General features: G+C 45.4%; 3 annotated features.

Moving 5' to 3' along the window:
* Nucleotides 3,400–3,899: an enhancer, noted in NCBI's record as "H3K4me1 hESC enhancer chr12:115223243-115223742 (GRCh37/hg19 assembly coordinates)". NCBI's record gives its function as "activates a minimal SCP1, AML or CMV promoter by ChIP-STARR-seq in naive H9 embryonic stem cells {active_cell/tissue: H9 hESC(naive)}" and the evidence as "EXISTENCE:reporter gene assay evidence [ECO:0000049][PMID:30033119]".
* Nucleotides 17,287–17,787: an enhancer, noted in NCBI's record as "H3K4me1 hESC enhancer chr12:115237130-115237630 (GRCh37/hg19 assembly coordinates)". NCBI's record gives its function as "activates a minimal SCP1, AML or CMV promoter by ChIP-STARR-seq in naive H9 embryonic stem cells {active_cell/tissue: H9 hESC(naive)}" and the evidence as "EXISTENCE:reporter gene assay evidence [ECO:0000049][PMID:30033119]".
* Nucleotides 17,788–18,288: an enhancer, noted in NCBI's record as "H3K4me1 hESC enhancer chr12:115237631-115238131 (GRCh37/hg19 assembly coordinates)". NCBI's record gives its function as "activates a minimal SCP1, AML or CMV promoter by ChIP-STARR-seq in naive and primed H9 embryonic stem cells {active_cell/tissue: H9 hESC(naive and primed)}" and the evidence as "EXISTENCE:reporter gene assay evidence [ECO:0000049][PMID:30033119]".

Genomic DNA, 26,756 nt, shown 5'->3' on the forward strand with positions numbered 1-26,756 from the left:
AAAGCAGGCCAACGTGGGCAGATCACGAGGTCAGGAGATCGAGAACATCCTGGTTAACACGGTGAAACCCCATCTCTACTAAAAATACAAAAAATTAGCCAGGTGTGGTGGCAGGCGCCTGTAGTCCCAGCTACTCAGGAGGCTGAGGCAGGAGAATGGCGTGAACCCAGGAGGCGGAGCTTGCAGTGAGCCGAGATTGCGCCACTGCACTCCAGCCTGGGTGACAGAGGGAGACTCCATCTCAAAAAAAAAAAAAAAAAGAAAAGAAAGCAGGGATTGGCTTCTATTCCACAATGAATAGATTCCTCCTTCCACTCCTAGTTTAACTAAATAATATTTATCACCTATAATGTGTGTATACTATAGGTTCCCTTGACCTCTCTGACCCCTGTTTACATCTCCTGCTACTCTTGCCCTTGTTCTGTGGGTCTAGGTTACCCCACCTTCTTTCCCTTTGAATAGTCTCTCCTCTCTCCACTCCCATTTTTTTTGGTTTGGTTTTTTTTTTTTTTTTTTTTTTTGGAGACGGAGTCTCCCTGTTGCCCAGGCTGGAGTACAGTGGTGTTATCTTGGCTCACTGCAACCTCCGCTTCCTAGGTTCAAATGATTTCTCCTGCCTCAGCCTCCCAAGTAGCTGGGACTACAGGCACATGCCACCATGCCCAGCTAATGTTTGTATTTTCAGTAGAGATGGGGTTTTACCATGTTGGCCAGGCTGGTCTCGAACTCCTGACCTCAGGTGACCCATCCGCCTCAGCCTCCCAAAGTGCTGGAATTACAGACGTGAGCCACTATGCCCGGGCGTGTGATTCTTTTATTAATGTCTCTGCACTGCACCAGACTTTAACCTCCGTGAAAGTAGAGAGCTCGGCCGGGCATGGTGGCTCATGCCTGTAATCTGAGCACTTTGGGAGGCCGAGGTGGGTGGATTGCTAGAGCCCAGGAGTTCGAGGCCAGCCTGGGCTACATAGTGAGACCCCTGTCTTTATTTTTTTTTGCAAAATAATAATAACAATTTATTTTTTTTGCAAAATAATAATAACAATAAAAGAAAGTAGAGAGCTCATCTGTCTTGTCCATGACTGCATCCAAATATTGGTGGAAAAGTAGGGAAGTTCCCGAGAAGACCCCAACCGAGGGAAAGAATTCATGAACACACAAGCAAGGAGGGAGACAGAGGAGCCCCGAGAGGTGGGCGGTCTCCAAGATGCCCTAGAAAGAACCCTTGTCACGCCTCCTGTCCTAGCTGCTCAGATTTCAGGCAAAGGTGAAGGGCCAGACGTTCTCCAGGGCTCTCACTACGAAGCCAGTATGTATTTTGTATGCCATGTGTTCATGTTTTTCCCTTTGAAGACTGCCTGGGAAAGGCTAACAGTCATGGAAGTAACAAACATATTGTCTTCTCTTCTCTTGCCAAAAGCAATCTTTAATCACCCTACCAAGTAATGGGCTCAGAATAGCATAATGGAAACAAAGTACTTAAAATACTTGCTTGGGTGGATAAACACAGCAGAGTTAAAAAAAAAAAAAAAAAAGTCTTACACGTCCAGCCCCATCCTTTTTATTGTATACACAGCTAGGAGATGTGGAAGGAAGAGAAGAAATCCCTCCAGAACAAATAATTGTAAATATACAGAACATACATATTTTAAAGGGCAGCATGGTGGTTCATCCATCCTAAGGATATCTTTGTATTTGTGGTCCCTCCCAACCCCCCCTCTTTTTTTTAACCAAGTGACAAAAAGTAGGTCTGATATAACCAACCGGTGGAAGGGAGCTCTCAGAGTCTTTGAACAGGGTCTTTTTCAAATCTCTTTATATGTGAGAACATTAGGCGAGAGGAATGTTAGGAAAATTAGGGTAGGTGGTATTGGGCAGAGTTCCTTGTGAAACTGAGGGTTTAATTTGTGCTCAGAAGAGAGGACTCTTGCTGATGCCTACTTTTGCTCAAGTCAAAGCCAGAAGGAAGTGGCAAAGCTCTGGGTTATAGAAGTCAGGCTGCTGGTTGGGTGTGGTGGCTCATGCCTGTAATCCCAGCACTTTGGGAGGCTGAGGTGGGAGGAACACTTGAGCCCAGGAGTTTCAGACCAACCTGTGCAACATAGTGAGACCCTGTCTCTTTTATCTGAAAAATGTATTAAAAATATAAAAAATAAAAATAAAAGAATTCAGGCTGCAGCCTCCTAGTGGGATGTCCAGTGTGGTATTACAGAAAACAGATATTTAAGCCACAATGATAGACTCTGGAAATCATCACGTCCTCCAAGGACCCTTTCTAGATTTCCTCAGTTGGAATTTATCTCTCTCTACCATGAGAGGAACAAGACAAGAACCAGGCCATGCCTACAACTTAAAAACTGTAATCTTGGACAAGTTGCTTATTTTCTCTGAACTTTAGCTTTCCTATCTGTAATGTGTAGACAAAGAGAGAAATACATAGCCTGTGATCGGTTTCTAATGCAGAGCACTTAGCCCAGTTTGCTGTGAAAATTGTCAGAACCCAAAATGGAGTCACTCATATTAAGAAAACCCTGACAAATAGAGCCAGGGAAGGACATGCAGAGGGTTCTCCAGCTTGGATGACTGATAACAAAAACATCACAAAAGACTGCAAATACCACAGCCTTGCACAAAGGCCACTGCAACCTTAACACAAAAAAATTACTTTTGCAAGGACATCTGCCCAGCAACTGCCTGTCCAACTTCAGACCGGCATCACCCTTGTTATTGATCTTTGTAGCGAAGGATAATTATTTCAAAACAATTATGTAATCTTCCACATTTTTGTCCTTTAAAAACCTTTGTCTTCCTTTACCTCTCTGAATGCACACATAGTTTACTATGGCATGCACGTTCCCATTGCAATGCTCTACTCCCAAATAAACATCTTTTCTTTTAGAGAGCTTGTCCCTGTTTGTTATTTAGATTGACATTGCCTGAAAGTCAGAATTACCCAAGTGTGTCTCAGGGTGTCCTTGAAGTAGACAAGGTGCCCTTGAAGGCCAGACTATGCTTGGTATGTTTGAAGAAGAGCAAGGAGGCCACAGGGGATGGAGGTAGAGTGGTTGAAAGGATTCAACTGCCATTGAAAAGGACACATTCAAATAATGGCATGAGATGAGGAGGCCATAGACTTGGGGATGGGGGAAGGCCCAGATCCTGCAGGACTGTTGAACTAAACTGTTAAGAGCTTTGGTTTTGTTTTTATAGAGATGGGGTCTCATATGTTGTCCAGGCTGGTCTTGAACTCCTGGGCTTGGCCGGGAGTGGCGGCTCATGCCTGTAATCCCAGCACTTTGGGAGGCCTAGGTGGGAGGATTGCTTGAGGCCAGGAGTTTGAGACCAGCCTGGGCAACATGGCAGAAACCCTGTCTCTACTAAAAAAAAAAAAAATACAAAAATTAGCTAGGCATGGTGGCACTCGCCTGTAATGCCATCTGCTCAGGAGGCTGAGGTGCAAGGATGGCTTGAGCCAGGGAGGTGGAGGTTGAAGTGAGCCGAGATCGCACCACTGCACTCCAGCCTGGGCAACAGAGCCAGACCTTGACTCAAGAAACAAACAAGAACAAAATTCTCCTGGGCTCAACCAATCTTCCCGCCTTGGCCTCCCAAAGTGCTGGGTTTACAAATGTGAGCACCCAACCCAAGAGCTTTGGTTTTGCATCTGAATAAAAGGAGAAGTTGTTTTGAACAAGAAACAACATGTATCCCTTACCACCCTCTCCCGACCCACCCCGAAGATTTCATTGTGAAAACAAGCTGGGGAAGTGGACATGGAACTATCATATTCCCCCTGGCCTATTGGGTCCTGTTCACTGTGTTAGATCCTTTTATATACATGGTCTACTGTGTTCCTCACAATACTAGCATTTGCTTCTTTTACTTCTTTTTTATTAATAGATCGGGTCTTGCTCTGTTGCTCTATTGCCCAGGCTGGAGTGCAGTGGCATGATCATGGCTCACTGCAACCTCCGACTCCCTGGCTCAAGCCATCCTTCCACCTCAGCCTCTCGAGTAGCTGGGACTAGAGGTGCGTATCACCATGCCCAGCTAATTTTTAAAAGTTTTTGAGAAATGAGGTCTTGCTATGTTGCCCAGGCTGGTCTCGAACTCCTGGCCTCAAGCAATCCTCCTGCCTCACCCTCCCCGAAATAGAAGAGCTGATTAAGAAGTTGATAGCCCATTAATGTTGGTCAGCCCATTTAACCCTTGTAGTCTGGGGGACGGGGGACACAAAGTATCATAGGAAGTTTGATGACTGAGAGTCTGATGCCCCCAAGTCTACAGGCATCTGGGTCTTTATATCAGCAGTTAGGGCATGTTGGTGACAAGCTGACACATTTATCTTCCCTGCCCTACAGCAAGGTGGAAAGATTCTGGAATGGCCAAAAACAAAACTGGGTTGGACTCTCTCAGCTCTGACACTTGTTTGGGGATAAACCACTTAATCTTTCTAAATTGTAGAAGTTTTCTAAATCTTTTAGTTGTAAAAATAGTAATGGGTTTGTTGGAGGATTCAATGAGATAATGGAAGTAAATCGCTTAGCATGGTGCCAGGCACTTACCAAGTTCTCAGTTGAGATTAGCTTTTACTGTTGGTAGTGTCAGCATCATACCCATTCATCCCTGTATTTATGAAACAAGTATTTATTGAGTGCACTGTCTTCCAGGGGCCATTCTAGGTGCTGGCATTCCACAGGGAACAAGGTGAAATCCCTGCATTGCAGTGAGAGGAGACAGACAATAAACAAATGACTATTGGCCGGGCGTGGTGGCTTACGCCTGTAATCCCAGCACTTTGGGAGGCTGAGGCTGGTGGATTACCTGAGGTCAGGAGTTCGAGATCAGCCTGACCAAGAAGGTGAAACCCCATCTCTACTAAAAATACAAAAATTAGCTGGGCATGGTGGCAGGCGCCTGTAGTTCCAGCTACTTGGGAGACTGAGATGGGAGAATTGCTTGAACCCGGGGGACGGAGGTTGCCGTGAACCAAGATTGAGCCACTGCACTCTAGCCTGGGTGATGGAGTGAGATTCCGTCTCAAAAAAACAAAACAAAACAAACAAACAAACAAAATGAATATTGTGTCAGCCGGTGATCAAACATGACACTTGGCTGGGCGCGGTGGCTCACACCTGTAATCCCAGCAATTTGGGAGGCTGAGGTGGGCAGACTACCTGAGGTCAGGAGTTCAAGACCAGCCTGGCCAACATGGTGAAACCCCATCTCTACTAAAAATATAAAAATTAGCTAGGCATGGTCATGAGCCCCTGTAATCCTAGCTACTTGGGAGGCGGAGGCAGGAGAATCGCTTGAACCCAGGAGGGGAGGTTGCAGTGAGCCAAGACTGCGCCATTACCCTCCAGCATGGGTGACAGAGTGAGACTCCATCTCAAAAAAAAAATTAATTAAAAAATAAAAAATAAAACATGACAGTTAAAGCAAGCAAAGGAATAAAGTGATGGGAGAAAGGAAATGCTACTGTACATAGTGAGGAGGTGATATTGGAGCACAGACCTGAAGAAGTTAAGGAATCAGGCTCTGGCGGAACAGTATTCCGGGTAGAAGACACAGCAAGTGCAAGGGCCCTGAGGCTGGAATGTGCTTGGTGTGTTTGAAGAAAAGCAAGGAGTTGCCACAGCTGGAAGTAAAGTGGTTGAGAGGTTCAGGTGTAGTGATCCATGCCTGTAATCCCAGCACTTTGGGAAGCCAAGGTGGGCAAATTGCTTGAGCCCAGAAGTTTGAGACCAGCCTGGGCAAGATAGGCCCCATCTCTACAAAAAATTAAAAAAAAAAATTAGCCAGATATGATCCCAGCTACTTGGAAGGCTGAAGTGGGAGGATCATTTGAGCCTGGAAGATTGAGGCTGCAGTGACCTGTGATGGTGCCACTGCACTACAGCCTGGGCAACAGAGCAAGACCCTGTCTCCAAAAAAAAAAAAAAGATGGTTGAGAGGGTTCAATCGCCATTGGAAATGACACATTCAAATGATGGCATGAAATCAGGCCAGAGAGTTGGGGATGGAGGAAGGCCCAGATCCTGAAGAATTTGAGGACTGTTAAGAGCTTTGGTTTTGCATCTGAATAATGTCACTTCTTGCTATTTTAAACAATAAGTTATCCCTTTAACACCCCCCAGATTTTATTTTAAAAAGTTACAAGTATATAGAAAAGTTGAAAAATTATATGACATCTGTATGGATTCTATACTTAACATTGCATTATATTTGCTTTATCACACATCTACTCAATTATTCATCAATTTATTTATTTATTTATTATTTTTGAGACAGAGTGTCACTCCTGTTGCCCAGGCTGGAGTGCAATGGTGCAATCTTGGCTCACTGCAACCTCCACCTCCCAGTTTCAAGCGATTCTTCTGCCTCAGCCTCCCAAGTAGCTGGAATTACAGGCCTGCACCACTACACCCAGCTAATTATTTATTTTTTTAAAGTAGAGATGGGGTTTCACCATGTTGGTCAGGCTGGTCTCGAACTCCTGATCTCAGGTGATCCACCCGCCTCAGCCTCCCAAAGTGCTGGGAACAGGCGTGAGCCACTGCGCCCGGCCCATCAATTTATCTTTCGTTTTGTGCATTACAAAGTAAGTCACAGGTTTAGCAGCATGCATGGTCTCTAAAGCAAAAGCACAAGCAAAACCAAAAATACTAAGTTACGGATATCAGTTACTTTATCCCCAAATACTTCAGTCTGCATATCATTAACTAGAATTCAATATCTGTTCATATTTTGTAAGAGAAAATTTACACACATTGAAATGCACAAATCTTAAGGATATCACTCTCTAAATACTTGCAAATGCACATGCTTCTGCATCCCAAATCCTTATCAAGATAGATAATATTGTCATCACTTCTCCCTCCCTCCTCCAATCTGCCACTATTGATTTTTTCTGCCATATTGGTATGTTGGTTTTGTCTCTTCCAATGCTTTAGATGAGTGGATTTATACAGTACATAGGCTTGTGTAGAGTTTTCTCTCATTCAGCATAATTTGAGATTCACCTGTGCTATAACTTGTATCAATAGTTTCTTTTTTATTGTGGAGTAGCATTTCTTTATATGAATATACCAGTTTGTTTAACTTTTTTCCTGTTGATGCACACCAGGGTGGTTTCTAGTTTTTGTCTGCCTTAAACTTTTTTTTTGATTGACAAGTAATAATTTTATGTGTTTATGAGGCACCACGTGATGCTTCCATACATGTATATATCTGGAATGATCAAAATCACCACCTTACCTTTGAAAAAAATTTCTCTAGCAGCAGGTTAGAGAATAGACTCTTGGCTGAAAAGATAGAAACAGACCAGGTGTGAAGCTCAGGCTTGCAATCCCAGTGCTTTGTGAGGCCGAGGCGGGTGGGTCACTTGAGGCCAGGAGCTCCAGACCAGTCTGGGCAACATAGTGAGACCTAAAAACATTATCCGGGTGTGATGGCTCACACCTGTAGTCACAGCTACTTGGGAGGCTGAGGTGGGAGGATCACTTCAGTCCAGAAGATTGAGGCTGCATTGAGCTATGATTGTGCCACTGCCACTGCATTCCAGCCTGGGTGACAGAGCAAGATGCTGTCTCTAAAAATCAATCAATCAATCAATCTTTGCTCTTTTCTGTAAAATCTGAATGATTGTAATTCATTCCCTGTATATAAGAAAATGCATTGAAAATGCTGAACACGGTGTCTGGCTTGTCTGAGGCATTCAAAACCATCAGCTGTTATTATTAGAACTTTTCATCAAAACCCACCCTAGTCTCTGTCCTCTGGATCACAAGCTCCCTAGAGCTTTTAATCTCTCAATTGGAATTTCCCACTGGAGGCAGCTCCTTGAGGAATTTCTGTTATTATTCTCCCTACAGGATACCTTAGCTGATACAGTTCATTTACAAGGTGGCTCACTGCAAATGCGTAGCTGAGGAGATTGGACCAAAGTTACTGAACGTGTTGAATCTAAGAGGAAAGCATGACAATCAGGTCGTTCCTTATGAAGGAATGGGTTATCTCCAGGGGAAGGGAGTTGTCTAAACCTTGAAGATGTTGTTAACTGAGATAATGTATATAAAGAGGTTAAGCTACGGTCAAAACAAGGCTACCACCACATTATCGCTTGCCTGAAAAAGATAAGACTCAAGCCATCCTTCTAACCTCAGCCTCTCAAGTAGCTGGGACCATAGGTGGGTGCCACCACGCCCAGCTTTTTTTTTTTTTTTTCTTTTTTCAGAGATGGAGTCTTCCTAAATTACCCAGGCTGGTTGCAAACTCCTGGGTGAACCTCCTGCCTCAACCTGTCAAAGTGCTGGGATTATAGGCATCAGATACTCTGCCTGGCCTCCTTCTGAAACCAAGAATCTATTCTCTAACCCGCAGCCAGAAGGATTCTTTTCAAATGCAAAAAATCTTGTCAACCAGGCTGGATTGCAGTGGTGTGATCATAGTTCATTGCAATCTCAAATTCCTGGGACAGCAAAGATTTAAATTCATTGCCTCTGGCTTCAGAGGCTGTAATCTTAACTACTATGGCTACACCAATTCCCTTTCCATTGCAAAAGATGAATGGAATAGTTGTAATGCAGCAAGCTGATTTTCTTTTCCTCCCAACAAAGTTGACCCCAAATCACTAATTCATTTTCTAAAATCCCCAAAAGGACATCATCTGGGCCAAGCGTCGTGGCTCATGCCCGTAGTCTCAGCACTTTGGGAGGCCGAGATGGATGGATCACCTGAGGTCAGGAGTTGGAGAGCGGGCTGGCCAACATGATGAGACCCCGTCTCTACTAAAAATATTATACAAGGCTGGGCATGGTGGCTCATGCCTGTAATCCCAGCACTTTGGGAGGCCAAGGTGGGCGGATCACCTGAGGTCGGGAGTTCGAGACCAGCCTGACCAACATGGTGAAACCCTGTCTCTACTAAAAATACAAAATTAGACGGGCATGGTGGCACACGCCTGTAATCCCAGCTACTCGGGAGGCTGAGGCAGGAGAATCGCTTGAACTTGGGAGGCGGAGGTTGTGAGCTGAGATTGTGCCATTGCACTCCAGCCTTGGCAACAAGAGTGAAACTCCGTCTCAAAAAAAAAAAATTATACAAAAATTAGGCCAGGCATGGTGGTACATGCCTGTAGTCCCAGCTACTCGGGAGGCTGAGGTGGGAAAATTGCTTGAATCCAGGAGGTGGAGAGCTTGCAGTGAGCCAAGATCACGCCACTGCACTCCAGTCTGGGCAAGAGAGTGAGACCCTGTCTCAAAAAATAATAAAATAAAATAAAATAAAATAAAATAAAATAAAATAAAATAAAAAGGACATCATTCAAAATGGCAACATGAGGTCAAAGTAGGGCTCATGGATAGGGTGACCAGCTCGGTTTGCATGAGACTTTCCTTGTTTTAATTTTACTTTTTTTGTTTTGAGACAGGGTCTCCCTCTGTCATCCAGGCTGGGGTGCAGTGGCACAATCATGACTCATTGCAGCCTCTTCCCAGGCTCAGGTAATCCTTCCGTCTCAGCCTCCAGAGTAGAGGATTACAGACAAACACTACCACACCCAGCTAAGTATTTTGTATTTTTAGTAGAGATGGAGTTTCATCATGTTGCCCAGGCTGGTCTGGAACTCCTGAGCTCAAGTGATAGGCCCACCTACGCCTCTCAAAGTGCTGGGATTACAGACAGGAGACATTGTGCCTGGCCGACTTTCCCTGTTTTAGCACACTCAATATCCAAGGCAAACTGGGATGGTTCAATCACCCTACTCATGAAAGAAGGTCGGTGTCCATGTAGAATACTCCCATTTGTGATCTGGATAGAGTGATGTGAATTGATCCCAGGGTCATGAATTTACCCACGAAGCAGTCTCCTTTGGTTCCTGCTCTTCTCAGTCTTAGGACAATCTGTTTGGATACAATCCACTGAAGGAACAAACTTAGCAACTTGTACCATCAATCAACTGGCATTTGAGGACATGTTGACAAATAAATATGCCATCCCCAAGAGGGCAGGAGATTATTCAGTAGTTCTTCCATATTAACTATAAGCTTTGGGACCCTGAAAGCATTTTTTCTCTCTTATAGACAGAATAACATCTCCTGGAAACCAGCTTGCTCCCCTGACTCCACTGCCATGGGTCTCATATAAGGTCATGCACCTTTTTGTTTGGACCAGGGCACTGGCTTTCTAGTGTTGAAGGTTCTGGAGCCTTCAACATCTCATTGTCTTAATTCTTCTCACCTACTAAATAGAGCATCAAAGAGAACCACTGAAAGCATCTAGCCTCAGGCTGCGTGCGGTGGCTCACGCCTATAATACCAGCACTTTGGGAGGCCGAGGCAGGCGGATCTCAAGTGATCCGCCTGCCTCGGCCTCCCAAAGTGCTGGGATTACAGGTGTGAGCCACCACGCCTGGCCTGTCTAACCAGTCTTGGCCTCCAGCACGGGCCATTTGAAAAGGGAGTAGACATGGGCTCTGCTGGAGAAATCAGCATCCAGGTTGGAAACTGATCAATAGATTTTATGCTTTATCCTGGAGCCTATGTGGGGTCACTGGCAGCTTTACAGTGCAGCTTTATGGCACATGCAGGCTGAGGTCTGATCCAGCCTTTGCGGAAGGAGGAATAATAAAGGGGGAAACCAGCCATGGTGGCTCATGCCTGTAATCCCGGCACTTGGGGAGGCTGAGGTGGGTGGATCACTTGAGGTCAGGAGTCTTTACGGAAAATACGAAAGAAAAAAACAAAAACAAACAAACAAAAACTAATAAGGTATGGTGGCATGTGCCTGTAATCTCAGCTACTCGGGAGGCTGAGGCAGGAGAATGGCTTGAACCCAGGAGGTGGAGGTTGCAGTGAGTCGAGATTGCATCACTGCACTCCAACCCAGGCGACAGAGCAAGACTTTGTCTAAAAAAAAAAAAGAAAAAAGGCGGGGGGGGGTTGGGGGGGAAACCAGAAACAAATTCCATAAAGACAGCTACAAAAGAATGCCGTGAAGAGAAAAAAATAAAGAAAAAAAATTGAAACACAGCTGACAGCACCCTTAGCCCACACTGTCACTGAACAGAAATTCAATTTATTTGCTTTTTGCTTGGAGATGTAGCACAGTTTTTGACAGAAGTGCTATGCATTCTGTCAAAGAGACGTCTCGATGTGATTGGGAAAATTGCAATTTTAATATTCTCTTTCCTCCTGCAAGCCCTTTGCATGTTTTCCACTACACTAGCCTCTGATTGCTCACAGTTAAATATAGATGAACTCCCCAGATCTTCGTCCCCTCCTCTGTTTTATGAGTGCCATTATTAGGTTGACTCTGTGTGTGTGCTTCTTTAATCTAAGCAAGAAAAAAGACAATGCAACAAATAAACGAGGAAGAGGGCAGAGAAAGATAAGAGAAGCCCCTTTGGTAAATAGGAGTTAGGATATTTATAGGCATTGAGAACTAAGATTTTTTTTTTTGAGGTGGAGTCTTGCTGTATTGCCCAGGCTGGACTGCCGTGGTGAGATCTCTGCTAACTGCAACCTCGGCCTCCCGGGCTCAAGCAATTCTCCTGCCTCAGCCTCCTGAGTAGCTGGAATTAGTCATGGGCCACTACGCCTGGCTAATTTTTGTATTTTTAGTAGAGATGGGGTTTCATCATTTTGGCCAGGCTGGTCTCTAACTCTTGACCTCAGGTGATCTCCCTGCCTTGGCCTCCCAAAGTGCTGGCATTACAGGGCAGGAGCCACCTCACCTGGCTGAGAACTAAGATTTTTCAAAGTAATAATATTTACTGTCCTTACTACCTTCTATGTGATAGATGCTTTATTCTGTTGGCACTCTTTCTGATGTTTGTGAATCTCTGAGCTGACCCTAGTTTCCTACACACTTTACAGATGAGGAAATTGTTGTTTGGTGAGAATCTCATTTGCCTAAGGTCTGGAAATGTGGTGAGGGCAGGTTCAAACCCAGGGATACAGGGCCCGGATCTGTGCATTAAACTGTGGTGCTATGCCTCCGTGACCCAGCCCGACATACATAGTGGGTACCTACAATTTTTCCTGCTCAGCGTTCGCCTTTTGTGTGACTTACCCTAATTTCTCCTTTGAAAAATGCTCTTCCTCTGCTATGTGTATAAAATTGGCAAGAGGCTGACCCCCATTTCCAAGGCCCATGGGCACATGACCATCTGGCCAATCAGAGTATTCTGACTCCTGGCCGAAGTGATTGGTTCATGGATGACCACGTGATCTAAGCCAGGCCAACGCAATTCATTCCTGGAACTCTTAACGGGACTCTAAGTAATTAGAGCACTTTTTTGGCTGAGGTTGCTAAATTGGTAGGATATTAGCCTGGAGTTTCTGGGATTGTCTTTGAGAACAATGAAAGGAGAGCTTGCATGGGGTGAAGTCAACTATGTGAGACACGGAGCTGAGAGATAGGGAGACTCCCTGTCTCTCACTGAGTATCAGTGATTCCTCAAGGAATCACTGTCCTTGTTACTCTACAGTTATTGATCCAAATGGCTGAGTTCTCCACTTGAGGATAACCATGTTATCCTCATGTTATCTGGTGCTAGCAGAGTGCCTGGCACAGAGTAAGGGCTCAGAAGTGAGGCCGGGCATGGTGGCTCACACCTGTAATCTCAACACTTTGGGAGGCCGAGGCAGGCGGATCACTTGAGGTCAGGGGTTCGAGACCAGCCTAGCCAACATGGTGAAACTCCCCTCTCTACAAAAAATACAAAAATTAGCCGAGTGTAGTGCTGTGCGTCTGCAATCTTAGCTAATCAGGAGGCCGAGGCAGAAGAATCACTTGAACCCGGGAGGCAGAGGTTGCAGTGAGCCAAGATAACGCCACTGATTTCCAGCCTGGGTGACAGAGCAAGACTCCGTCTCCCCCGCAAAAAAGAAAAGAAAACAGAAATGCTTGTCAATGGGTGAGTGCAGAGACATCCTGGGGTCTGGTCCCAGTTCTGCCCTTAATGTATTGGACAATTCATTTCTCCTCTCTGGGTCTCAGTACTCCCATTAGTACAAAGAGGGTTGATCACTTTAATGATCTCCAAAACTGATTAAGAATCAGGTGGGAGATTGCTACAGACATTTTCAAGCATATGCAAAAGCGAAGAGAATAGTGAGATGAACCACCGTATGCCAACATCCATGTTCAATAGTCATCACCCAGAGCCAATTTGGTTATATTCATACCTCCACCAACTTGAATTTTCTCCCTCTGCTAGGTTCTTCTGAAGCAAAATCCAGGCATAGCATCATTTAATCCACAAGTAATTCAGTATGCGGATTTAAATATAAAGTTTTTTTAAAACAAAATTACATTACCATTATTTTATTTATTTATTTATTTATTATATTTTTGAGACAGAGCCTTGCTGTGTCGCCCAGGCTGGACGGAGTGCAGTGGCACGATCTCGACTCACTGCAAGCTCCACCTCCCTGGTTCAAGCGATTCTTGTGTCTCAGCCACCCGAGTAGCCGGGATTACAGATGTGCGCCACCACGCCCAGCTAATTTTTTTGTATTTTTAGTATCGACGGCGTTTCACCATGTTGGCCAAGCTGTTCTCAAACTCCTGACCTCAAGTGATCCGCCTGCCTTGGCCTCCCAAAGTGCTGGGATTACAGGTGTGAGCTACCATGCCTGGCCCATTATTATACTTGAAATTAATAATGAGATCATCAAATATCAAATATCTAGTAGTTGTCCAAATTTTCCTATATATATATATATATATATATATACAGTTATTTTGTTTAAATCAGGATCCACATGAGTTTCACACATTGCCTTTGGTTGGATCTCTTAAATTGCCTCTACTCTTTATATTTCTATGTTTTCTTTAATTAATTAATATAGAGATGGGGATTCGCCATGTTCCCCAGGCTGGTCTTGAACTCCTGGGCTCAAGCAATTCACCGGCCTCGGCCTCCCAAAGTGCTAACATTACAGGCACGAGCCACCAGGCCTGGCCACATTTCTATATTTTCTATATACTCTCTCTTTATTCTTCTGTTTCTCCTTCCTCTTTATTTATTTATTCTTCCAATTAACTTGTTTTGGAAATGGGCTCACTTATCCTAGAAAATTCTGGGTTGGGAGAGAGTAAAATTTGCATATTCTTGGGCCCCCATCTCAGACATACTGAATCAGAATTTTCAATGCCGAGGTCAAGAAAATTTTTTCTTTTTTTCTTTTTTTTTTTTTTAACCAAGGAACTCTCCAGCTAAGCTCTATGTCTTGTCAGGGTCCCTTCCAAAGTGGCATTTTTTGGTTTCCTCTAACAAAGCCATATCTCCCCCAACACAATGTTTACGGACAGGCCTTTGGTGTATGTCCAACAACATCTCACCGTATCAGTCTTTGTTGAATATTGCTTTTGTAGTCATAAATATATGTAATATGTACTAAGTGCTTATAATCTTCCAGCTAGCATGTGTGTCTTGCACATGTATTGTTTCCAGTTGAGTCTCCCAAGAGCCCTGTGATGTTGGTCCTAATTGGCTGCAGCACATGCCATTGCCAATGTAGCTGACCATTTTTTGACCTATAAAACTTGTCATTTCATAGTGTTTGACTTAATATCCCCCTTTTTTTCAGATGTGGAAAATGAGGCCAGGTGTGGCGGTGGCTCATGCCTGTAATCCCAGCATTTTGGGAAGCTGAGGTGGGAGGATCTTTTGAGCCCAGGAGTTCAAGATCCCATTTCTATTAAAAAATATATGTGTGATATATATATATATATATATATATGTTATATATATAACATATATATATATATATGGAAAATGAAGCTCAGAGTCATCAAGCAATGTAGAGGATGAAAGAAAGAAAGAACTCAGCCCGGTTTGGTGGCTCACACCTGTAATCTCAGCTCTTTGGGAGGCCGAGGTGCGTGGATCACCTGAGGTCAGGAGTTCGAGACCAGCCTGGCCAACATGGTGAAACCCCGTCTCTACTAAAAATATGAAAAAATTAGCTGGGTTTGGTGGCACAGGCCTGTAATCCCAGCTACTCGGGAGGCTGAGTCAGGAGAGTCACCTGAACCCAGGAGGCGGAGGTTGCAGTGAGCCAAGATCTGTGCACACATGCCCACTGCCTCTCAATGACAGCTTCCAATGCATTTAGGAGGTAGGTACACACAGCATGCAGCACACAGCAGGGGCTCAATAAATGCTCCTTTTCTTCTTCATCTTTTTTTTTTTTTTTTTTGAGATAGAGTCTCAATCTGTCTTCCAGGCTTGAGTGCAGTGGCACAATCTCAGCTGATTGCAACCTCTTCCTCCCTGGTTCAAGCAATTCTCCCTTTTCAGGCTCCTGAGTAGTTGGGACTAGAGTAATGCGCCACCACACCCAGCTAATTTTTGTGTTTTTAGTAGAGATGAGGTTTCACCATGTTGGCTGGGCTGGTCTCGAACTCCTGAACTCAGTGATCTGCCTGCCTCGGCCTCCCAAAGTGGTAGGATTATAGGTGTGAGCCACTGTGCCCAGCCAAATTCTCTTTTTCTTTTCTTTTTTGATACAGAGTCTCAGTCTGTCGCCCAGGCTGGAGTGCATTGGTGCCATCTTGGCTCCCTGCAACCTCCGCCTCCGGGGTTCAAGTGATTCTGTGCCTTAGCCTCCCGAGTAGCTGGGATTACAGGTGCCCGCCACCACGCCCAGCTAATTTTTGTATTTTTAGTAAAGACAGGGTTTCACCATGTTGTCCGGGCTGGTCTCGAACTCCTGGCTTCAAGTGATCCACCTGCCTCGGCCTCCCAAAGTATTGGGATTACAGGAGTGAGCCACCATGCCTGGTCGAAATGCTTCTTTTCTTGTCTTTGCCTCTCGGCAATGGCATGGCTCCCTGAGCCACCTTCTCTCCCTCCTGCCCATCCACCATCCCTGCCAGCATGACAGATGAAGTTCTGAGGCCTACAGATGCCTAAAGCAGAAAGTAGCGATATGTGGATGCTCCTCTCCCTCTCTCTTCCTGCAACCTAACTGGACACACAGTGAAGAGACCATGTGTGAGTTCATGGGTAGAGAGAGAAGATAATTCAAACTTTGGGTGTGGGGAAGGTTCTAGAATCTCTCATGATATACTGGAAGGGTAGATTTCCAAACTTTCCTCCCATTTTCTTTCTCTCTTTTTTTCTTTTTCTCTTTTTTTTTCTTTTTTGAGATAGAGTCTCTGTCACCCAGGCAAGAGTGCAGTGGTGTGATCTCAGCTCACTGCAACCTCTGCCTCTCAGGTTCAAGGGATTCTCCCACCTCAGCCTCCTGAGTAGCTGAGACTACAGGCGCACGCCACCATGCCCAGCTAATTTTTGTATTTTCAGTAGAGATGGGGTTTCACTATGTTGGCCAGGCTGGCCTCGAACTCCTGACCTCAAGTGATCTGCCCGTCTCAGCCTCCCAAAGTGCTGGGATTATAGGCATGAGCCACTGCACCTGGTCTTTCCCCCACATTTTCTTTGCAAAAGTGCTGAGGTAGCTAGGCTATGAAAATCAGCCAGCTGTGAGCTGCCCAGCTGACAAAGGGGCCACAGCTGGAGAGGAACAGTGGCTGTTGATTCCAGCTGCAAATGAAAGGGTCAACACCTTGTAGGAAAAAAAAAAAATCCAGACATCAGCTGGTGGAAATGGTCCCAGAGTTCATAATAACAGAAAGGAAGGCAAGGAGATTTTATTGTTTTAATTGGCAGCTGTCTCTGGATTCTTTTTTTAAAAGAGAGTTTGGAGACTGTAACCCGGGCAGGTGTGTGTGTGTGTGCACATGTGTGTGCACGTGTGTGTAAGGGAAGCTGGAAGAAAACTGTGTCTGTGAATATGAGAATGGGAAGACTGGGAGGAGAGACTGCTGTGTGTGTATTAGCCAGGGAGGTAGAGAGGACAGTAGCCATCTCCTGCATATGGGACCCGTGAGAAAGAAAGAGACTAAGAGACTTTGAAAGTGGGAAATGTCTCAGGGAAGAGAAGACAAATCTATTTTTATTCCTTTTTTTTTTTTTTTTTTTTTTTTTGAGACAGAGTCTCACTTTGTCATCCAGGCTGGAGTGCGTGGGGCGAACTCAGATCACTGCAACCTCTGACTCCCGCATTCAAATGATTCTCCTGACTCAGCCTCCTGAGTAGCTGGGATTACAGGTGCATGCCACCACGCTTGGCTAATTTTTGTATTTTTAGTAGAGACGGGGTTTCACCATGTTGGCCAAGCTGGTCTCGAACTCCTGACCTCAGATGATCCGCCCGCCTCGGCCTCCCAAAGTGCTGGGATTATAGGCATGAGCCACCACATCTGGTCTGAGAAGACAAATCTTAATTATGTGTGTATGCATGTGTCTATATGAAAATGGAAAGCCCAGTGCGGTGGCTCATGCTTGTAATCCCAGAACTTTGGGAAGCTGAGGCTAGAAGATTGCTTGAGGCTACGAGTTCAAGACCAGCCTGGGTGAATAGTGTGAACTTTTCTCAAAAAAAAAAAAAAATCAATAAATAAATTTTAAAAAATTGAAAATTGTAGATGAAAGAGTGGGAAAAAACTAAAGTGGAACTGGGAGAGGAAACCACGCATGGTGCAGGAGAGAGCTGGAGACGGACTCAGAGCCAGCTTGGAATGAGCAGTGGCACCAGGAGCTCCCTCCAGCCTGTTCAGAAATAGTTTCCGGGAACTGTGGTGCTTTCCCCGCCCCTGCTCTAGGGCCAGCGGGGAGATGAAGCTGCCCGCATCGCTTGTCTTGGCTGCCTCTCAGCTGACACTGCTGACAGGCTGCTTTGATCTCAGGTTATCAGGGCTAACCCTGTGCCCTGGGCCTGCTCTGCCAGCCCCGCCCACGCTCCCCTCTGCTGAAAGGGCATTCAGTAAGGCCACCAACTGTTGGGAGGGAGGCCCAGTCCGCGTGCCTGGTTGGCCTTGGAGCCTGGGTACTTGATGTAATGAAGGCACCATCTTTTATTCTCAAAACAGTGAAGAACAGGGGCCCAGCTGGGGAAAACAAGCTTTTGAAGTGTAGTCACACGAAATAGTGCCACCAAACATCTATGGAATGTCATATGTTTATGTCCTCATGCTGTCTGGACCTTCACCCCCAAAGGATGAGTAGTGAAAGAAAGAAAACAGGATGGGCAGCCAGGAAGATTTTTTTCTTTCCTTTTTCCCAACTTTTACACTTCTAAAAAAATCTTTTCTTTTTTCCTTTTTGTGGAGAACAGGATCTCGCTATATTGCCCAGGCAGGTCTCAAACTCCTGGGCTCAAGCTATCCTCCCGCCTCTGCCTCCCTAACAGCTGGGATGACAGGCATGAGCCACCATGCCTGGCCTTCTCCGCAACTTTTATTTTGGATTCAGGAGGTACATGTGCAGGTTTGTTACCTGTGTAGATGGCATGATGCTGAGGCTTGAGGTATGAATGATCCCATCACCCAGGTACTGATCATAGTACTCAACAGTTTATTTTTCGTTGTTGTTGTTTTTGAGACAGAGTTTCGCTCTTGTTGCCCAGACTGAAATGCAATGGTACGATCTCGGCTCACCACAACATCCACCTCCTGGGTTCAAGCAATTCTCCTGCCTCAGCCTCCTGAGTAGATGGGATTACAGGCATGTGCCACCATGCCAAGCTAGTTTTGTATTTTTAGTAGAGACGGGGTTTCTCCATGTTGGTCAGGCTGGTCTCGAACTCCTGACCTCAGTTGACTCACCCGCTTCAGCCTCCCAAAGTGCTGGGATTACAGGCGTGAGTCACCGCGCCTGGCCCCAACAGTTAGTTTTTCAAGCCCTGCCCCCGTCTTTTCCTCCGCCCACTGGTAGTCCCCAGTATCTGTTCCTATCTTTATGCTCATAAGTACCCAATGTTTAGCTCCCACCTATAAGTGAGAACAGGGGGTAGTTCCTATTCTGTTCCTGTATTAATTCACTTAGGATAATGGCCTCCAGCTGCATCCATGTTGCTGCAAAGAACATGATTTTATTCATTTCTATGGCTGTGCAGTATTCCATGGTGTATATGTGCCACATTTTCCTTATCCAATTCATCGTTGTTGGGGACTTAGGGTTGATTCCATGCCTTTGCCATTGTGAATAGTGCTGCAATGAACATATAAGTGCAGGTGTCTTTTTGGTAGAATGATTAGTTTTCTTTTGGATATATACTCAGTAGCAGGATTGCTGAGTTGAACGGTAGTTCTGTTTTAAGTTCTTATAAGCCTCGACCTCTCTGGGCCAAGTGATCCTCCCACCTCAGCCGCCAGAGTAGCTGGGACCACAGATGTGCACTTGTGGGGAATTTTTTTCTTTTGTGGAGATGGGGTCTCACTACGTTGCCCAGGATAATCTTGAACTCCTGAGCTCAAGTGATTCTCCCACCTCGGCCTCCCAAAATGCTGGGATTGCTGGTGTGAGCCAATGCATCTGGCCCTGTTTTAAGTTCTTTGAGAAATCTCCAGACAGCTTTCCACAGTGGCTGAACTAAATTTACATTCCCACCAACAGTGCATAAGCGTTCCATTTTCTGGGCAGCCTCACCAGCATTTGTTGTTTTTTGACTTTTTAGTAATAGCCATTCTGACTAGTGTGAGATGGTATCTCATTGTCCTTTTGATTTGCATCTCTCTGATGATTAGTGATGCAGAACATTTTTTTCATGTTTGTTGACTGCTTGTATGTCTTTTTTTTTTTTTTTTCTTTTTGAGATGGAGTTTCGCTCTTGTTGCCCAGGCTGGAGTGCAATGGTGCAATCTTGGCTCCCCTCAACTTCTGCCTCCTGAGTTCAAGCGATTCTCCTGCCTCAGCCTCCCAAGTAGCTGGGATTACAGGCAAGCGCCATCATGCCCGGCTAATTTTGTATTTTTAGTAAAGACAGGGTTTCTCCATGTTGGTCAGGCTGGTCTCGAACTCCTGACCTCAGGTGATCCACCTGCCTCCACCTCCCAAAATGCTAGGATTACAGGTGTGAGCCACTGTGCCTGGCCACTTCTATGTCTTAAAACTTGCTTTCTTCTCTTAAGACCTCTGTTGAGTCATTGGATGTCCTTGGGCAAATCTTACTTCTGTTTGGAACTCAGTTTTCATCTCCCATCTTGTAAAATAAAAGTGCTTTTATAACTCTGGAAACCTCTCTTCAAGCAAAATCATGTGCAGAAATCCAATATGTAAAACAGATTGAAGAAGAGTGGGGCTGGTTGAAGGGGATATGAAGACCTGATACCCTAACAATCTGTTCAGTCCATGTGTTGATTTCCTTTCTTTTGAGACAAGGTCTTGCTCTTTCACCCAGACTGGAGTGCAGTGGTATGATCATGGCTCCCTGCAGCCTTGACCTCTCAGGCTTAAGCAATCCTTCCACCTCAGCCTCCCAGGTAGCTGGGACCACAGGTGTGTGCCATCACATCCAGCTAATTCTTTTTTAAATTATTATTTTATTTTAAGATGAAGTTTTGCTCTGTTGCCCAGGCTGGAGAGCAGTGGTGCAATTTCGGCTCACTGCAACCTCTGCCTCCCGGGTTCAAGTGATTCTCAGGGAGGATCGGAGGTCTCAGCCTCCTGAGTAGCTGGGATTATAGGCATGTGCCACACACCTGGCTATTTTTGTATTTTTAGTAGAGATGGGGTTTCACCATGTTGGCCAAGCTGGTCTTGAACACCTGACCTCAGGTGATTCACCCACCTCAGCCTCCCAAAGTGCTGGGATTACAGGCCTGAGCCACTGCGCCTGGCCTAATTTTTTAAATATATATTTTTATAGAGGTTGGGGTCTCACTGTGTTGCCCAGGCTGGTCTCAAACTCCTGGCCTCAAGTGATCCTCTGTCCTCAGCCTCCCAAAGTGCTTGGATTACAGGCATAAGCCACCACATCTGGCTCCAATTTTTCCTTTTCATAAGGGCACGAGTCATACTGGATTGGAGCCTACCTTTAAGACCTCATTTTAACTCAATTTCCTCTATAAAGACAATATTTCCAAATCAGGTCATATTTGGAGGCCTGGGGGTTAGGACTTCAACCTATTTTTTTTTTCAAAGGATGAAATTCAATGCATAACACCCACTATGCCTTTTTTAAATTCCTGACTCAGAGAGTTTGTGAACATAATAAAATGGGCTGTTTTATATCACAAGCATTGGGGCAATTTGTTACACAGCAATAGTAACTGCAACAAGGGGTTAAACTGAAATAATATAGATGCATCAGCTCTATTTGGGTTCAAGCCCAGTTCCTCAACATCTTAATCCATCCTATTTACTTCTCCCAGCCTAGTTTCCTTATCAGAAAAATAGAGTATGATTAAGGGGGTATCTGTAAAGTCCCTGGTGTCATAGCAAGTGTTTGGCAAAGGTCTTTTATCTCTATCCTTTCTTCTGAAATTACCCCTTGCTAGAAGGCTCCTAATATGTTGGGGAATAAGTCTGAGTTCCTGAGTTTTGGGGGAAGCCCTTGGGTCCTGGGAACCGGATCTTTATTTCATACCTACTTGAATGAGGGAACACGTTCTTTCAGTAAGTTACTTCTTGGAGCAACTTCCCCGCTCAGACTTTCAAGACAATTTAGTCGGAGCTAACTCTGGTTTCTTGTTACCAAAGAGAAATGGGGCTCCTGCAAAGTCCTTGCAGAAAGGCTCTGACATCAAACAGCAACTACCCTACTGCATCCGAGGAGCTGAGTATAAATAAATCAAAACCATACCGGCTCCCTTTCCCTATGAGCACACACATGTAATTTCATTACAGCCGGAATGAAGTGCTGCAGGCTAAATGTGTTTGGGGCTAGGCTGAACCCAGCATGCTCTTGGAAGACCTGGGTCTGTTGGGCCAACTGAAGAGGAGGGCCTTCTTTTCCTTTTCCCCTCCTGCTGTATCTAATGTTTGTGTCACCCCCAAATTCATATGTTGAAACCTAACCTCCAGTGTGATGTTATTAAGAGTTGGGGCCGTAGGAAGGTGATGAGGTCATGAGGATGGAGCACTCATGAATGGGATTAGTGCCCTTAGAAAAGAGGCCTGCCAGGCACAGTGGCTCACGCCTATAATCCCAGCACTTTGGGAGGCCAAGGTGGGTGGATCACCTGAGGTCAAGGGTTCGAAACCAGCCTGGCCAACATAGTGAAACCCTGTCTCTACTAAAAATACAAAAATTAGCTGGGCGTGGTGACGGGCACCTGTAATCCCAGCTACTCGGGAGGCTGAGGCAGGAGAACAGCGTGAACCTGGGAGGTGGAGGTTGCAGTGAGCTGAGATCACACTACTGCACGCCAGCCTAGGTGACAGAGTGAGACTGTGTCTCAAAAAAAAAAAAAAAAAAAAAAAAACTGAAGCGAAATTCACAGAACATACAATTAACCATTTTAAAGTGCACAGTTCAGTGGCATAGAGTGCATTCACAATGTTGTGCAAACACCACCTCTTTCCAGTTTCAAGACTTTTGTATTGCCCTAGAAGAACACCTCATTCCCATGAAGTAATCACTCCCATTCCCTCTTCCCTCCAGCCCTAGGCAAGCACTAATCTACTGTCTGTCTCTATGGATTTGCCTATTCTAGACATTTCGTATGAATGGAATCATCCAATATGTGGCCTTTTCTATTTGGCTTCTTTGACAGCATCATGTCTTCATGTTCATCTATGTTGTAGGATGTGCCAGTACCTCACTCCTTTTTATGGCTGAAAATTAATCCATTTTAGGAATACACCACAATTTGTTAATCCATTTATCCATTGATAGACATTTGGGTTTTTTTTTTTTTGATGGAGTCTCACTCTGTCTCCTGGGTTCAAGTGATCGATTCTTCTGCCTCAGCCTCCTGAGTAGCTGAGACTACAGGCACACACCACCACGCCCAGCCAATTTTTGTATTTTTTGTAGAGATGGGGTTTCACCATATTGGCCAGGCTGGTCTCGAACTCATGACCTCGTGATCCGTCCACCTCAGCCTCCCAAAGTGCTAGGATTACAGGCATGAGCCACCTCACCTGGCCTGACATTTGGGGTATTTTCAACCTTTGCCTATCATGTAGCATGCTGCTGTGAATATTCACGTACAATGTGTGGACATGTGGACATATTTTTTTCATTTCTTTTGGGTATTTACCTCGGAGTGGACTTGCTGGGTCATATGATAGATTGACGTTGGACTTTTTGAGGAACTGCCAAAATACATTCCACAGTTTTTGAGCACTTGCTGTGTGCCAGGCATTGTGCTGAGCACTTTACATATATCAAGTCGAGTCACTGTGTCCTTGAGGACAGAGGTCGGTTACTATTCGCTGTGGTTTGAATGTTGTTGTCTTCTCCAAATCCATGTGTTGGAAACTTAATCCCCTATGCAACAGTTTTGAGAGGTGGGGTCTAATGGGAGGTATTTTAGGTCTTGAGGGCTCTGCTTTCATGAATGAATTAATGCTGCTATAAAAAGGGCTTGCCAGTGGGTTTATTCTCTTCTGCTCTTCCACCGTGTGAGCAGTAGTGTTCCTCCCACTGGAAGTTTGGGACACAGGAGTGCTCTTCAAATACTCCATTTGCCCCCGACATCCCTTACAGTTGATTGAGGCCACATAACAAGTTCTAGCGTAGGATGAGACATTCAAGATGACTTCTTTGAAGTGGGGCTGGGCTGTCATCAGACATCAAAACCTGCTGGCACCACGATCTTGGACTTCTCAGCCACCAGAACTATGAGAAATAAATTTCTGTTCTTTATAAATTGCCCTGTCTATGATATTCTGTTATAGCAGCACAAAACAGACTAAGACACTTTTATTCTCCTCATATCCTAGTTAAGGAAGCTGAGCTACAGAGAAGTTTAGCAACTTGTCCAAAGCCACACAGCTAGTAAGAGATGAAGCCAGGAAAATGATACCCAAGGTTTTTTTCTTTTCTTTCTTTCTTTCCTTCTTTTCTTTTCTTTTTTTGAGTCAGTGTCTCACTCTGTTGCTTAGGCTGGAGTACAGTGGTGCGATCATAGCCCACTGCAGCCTTGACCTCCCAGGCTCAAGAGATCCTCTCACCTCAGCTTCCTAAATAGCTGGAAGTTCAGGCATGTGCCACTATGTCCAGCTAATTTTGTAGAGGTAGGGTCTCACTGTGTTGCCCAGGCTGGTCTCCAACTCCTGGACTCAAGTGATTCTCCTGCCTAGGCCTTCCAAAGTGCTGAGATTATAGGCATGAGCCACCACACCCATCATAGGATGGTTTTAAGCAGAGAAGCAAAACAGTCAGATTTTATTTCTTGTTTTTCATTCTCTTTTCTCCCACAACATTTTCAAACACCAACTCTAGGATGAGGGGATGGTGGGATAAGGTTGATAGAAAGTTGGGAGCAGAAAAAAAGAAATCATGGCTACGTGCAGTGGTTCACGCCTGTAATCCCAGCACTTTGGGAGGCTGAGGTGAGCAGATTGCTTGAGCTCAGGAGTTCAAGACCAGCCTGGGCAATATGGCAAAACCCCATCTTTACCAAAAATACAAAAAATCAGCTAGGCATGGTGACATGCACCTGTGGTCCCAGCTACTTGGGAGGCTGAGGGACGAGAATTGCTTGAACCTGGGAGGCAAAAGTTGCAGTGAGCCGAGATCGTGCCACTGCACTCCAGCCTGGGTGACAGAGCAAGACTCAGTCTCAAAAAAAAAAAAAAAAAAAAAAAAAAAAAAAAAAAATCATGTGACCACAGTTGGAAGGGTTTCATTTCTCCTCTTGTACTTAGAAATGGACACATAGACAGGATGTGGCCCTGACCCACGTATGGATAAATGTGGCAAGAACCTGCTTTCTTGCTAAATCACTCGGCTGTTTGACAAGGCTGGGAAAGAACTTGGGGCCAGGACAGAAAAGCCTGGTCCAGGCAGGCTTACTCAGGATGGGGGTGACATTACCAACACCCCATTTTCCTCTGCCTGTGTATAATTTCCCCATTAGGAGCCCCTGGGGTGTTGGGACACTCTTCAGCTGTGTGAATTCTAGCGTGTGAAGTTCAGGATTTCTTCTATTTTCCCTGGGGCTGGTGGTTGCAAAAAAGCAGGGCTGAGCAAGTAGTAGGTTCATCTAGCCCATGTTTGAGAAGATGAAGCCATCAGACAGGGCCTCTGCCCTTGGGGTCCCAGTGACAAAAGAAATCTGGACAATCCACCATGACATCAATCATTGTTTATTCAAGGCCAGGAATGGTGGCTCACGCTTGTAGTTCCAGCACTTTGGGAGGCCGAGGCAGGCGGATCACTTGAGTTCAGGAGTTTGAGACCAGCCTGGCCAACACAGTGAAACCCCGTCTCTACTAAAAATACAAAAATTAGCTGAGCATGATGGTGCGTGCCTGTAATCCCAGCCACTCGGCAGGCTGAGGCAGGAGAATCGCTTGAACCTGGGAGGCAGAGGTTGCAGTGAGCTGAGATCATGCCACTGCACTCCAGCCTGGGCAACAGAGTGAGACTTGGTCTCAAATAAATAAACAAACAAATAAATAAACAAATAAATCATCGTTTATTCAAAAGCCTTTATTGAACACCTACTGTGTGCCTGCATTGTTCAAGGGAGTCAGCAGTGCCTAAGAGATATTCTCTTCTTTTGTGGGAGAATGACAGGTAACAGGCAAATAACTTCAGGATATATCAGATGGTGGCAAATGCTCTGGGGAAAAATATCAGGGAAGGACAGCAGAACGTGATGGAAGATGCTGGTTTAGATCTGACACAGAAATCCTCTGGTGGGCAGAATGATGGTCCCAAACAGATGTTCATGTCCTAATCCCTGGAACCTGTGAGGATGTTGCCTGACACGGCAAAAGGGACTTTTCAGAGGTGATTGCATGAAGGCTCTAGAGTTGAAAGGATTATTCTGGATTATCCAGATGGCCCCTAGATCATCACAGGGGTCCTGATTAGAGGGAAGTGGGTGGTTCCGAGTCAGAGTCAGAGACGATGTGATGATGGAAGGAGTGGACGTGGGGCCATGAGCCAAGGAATGTGGCCGCCTGGAGAAGCTAGAAAAGGCAAGGAAATACATTGTCTCCTAGAGCCTGTGGAGGAAACACAGCCTGGCCAGCCCATTTTAAACTGTCCACCTCCAGAACTGGAAGATCATAAATGTGTGTGGTTTTAGGCCACTAAATTTGTATCATTTGTTACAGCAGCCATTGAAAAGGAATACAGACCCAGATGAGGTAAAGACTGGAGACTTGCTGGGGAAGGGCATTTCAGGTGGTAGGAACAGCAAATGCAAAGGCCCTGAGGTGCAAAGCAAGATGGTGCAGGAAGTGCTACAATAGAGGTCACATAGAGGGTACTCTGGGGACACACAGGAGGGCCTGCATGAGAGTGGGTAATTGTGGAAGAGCTCCTGGAGGAACGAATGCTTGCTCTGAGCCTTCAAAAGCACTGGCTATTCAACCCAATTGACCAGGATTCAAGCCCTGGCTCTGCCACTTATAAGTGATGTGGCCTTGGGCAAGCTACCTTTCTTCTCCAAGTCTCTGCTTTCTGATTTTTTTTTTTTTTTTTTTGAGATGGAGTCTCGCTCTGTTGCCCAGGCTGGAGTGCAGTGGTGCAATCTCGGCTCACTGCAACCTCTGCCTCCCGGGTTCAAGCGATTCTCCTGCCTCAGACTCCCGAGCAGCTGGGATTACAGGCATACACCACCATGCCTGGGTAATTTTTGTATTTTTAGTGGAGACAGTGTTTTGCCACATTGGTCAGGCTGGTCTCAAACTCCTGGCCTCAGGTGATCCACCCACCTCGGCCTCCCGAAGTGCTGGGATTTCAAGCGTGAGCCCCCTCGCCTGGCCTGATCTT

The sequence above is a fragment of the Homo sapiens genome, chromosome 12 (genome assembly GCF_000001405.40).
Source record: "Homo sapiens chromosome 12, GRCh38.p14 Primary Assembly".
NCBI classification, from domain to species: domain Eukaryota; kingdom Metazoa; phylum Chordata; class Mammalia; order Primates; family Hominidae; genus Homo; species Homo sapiens.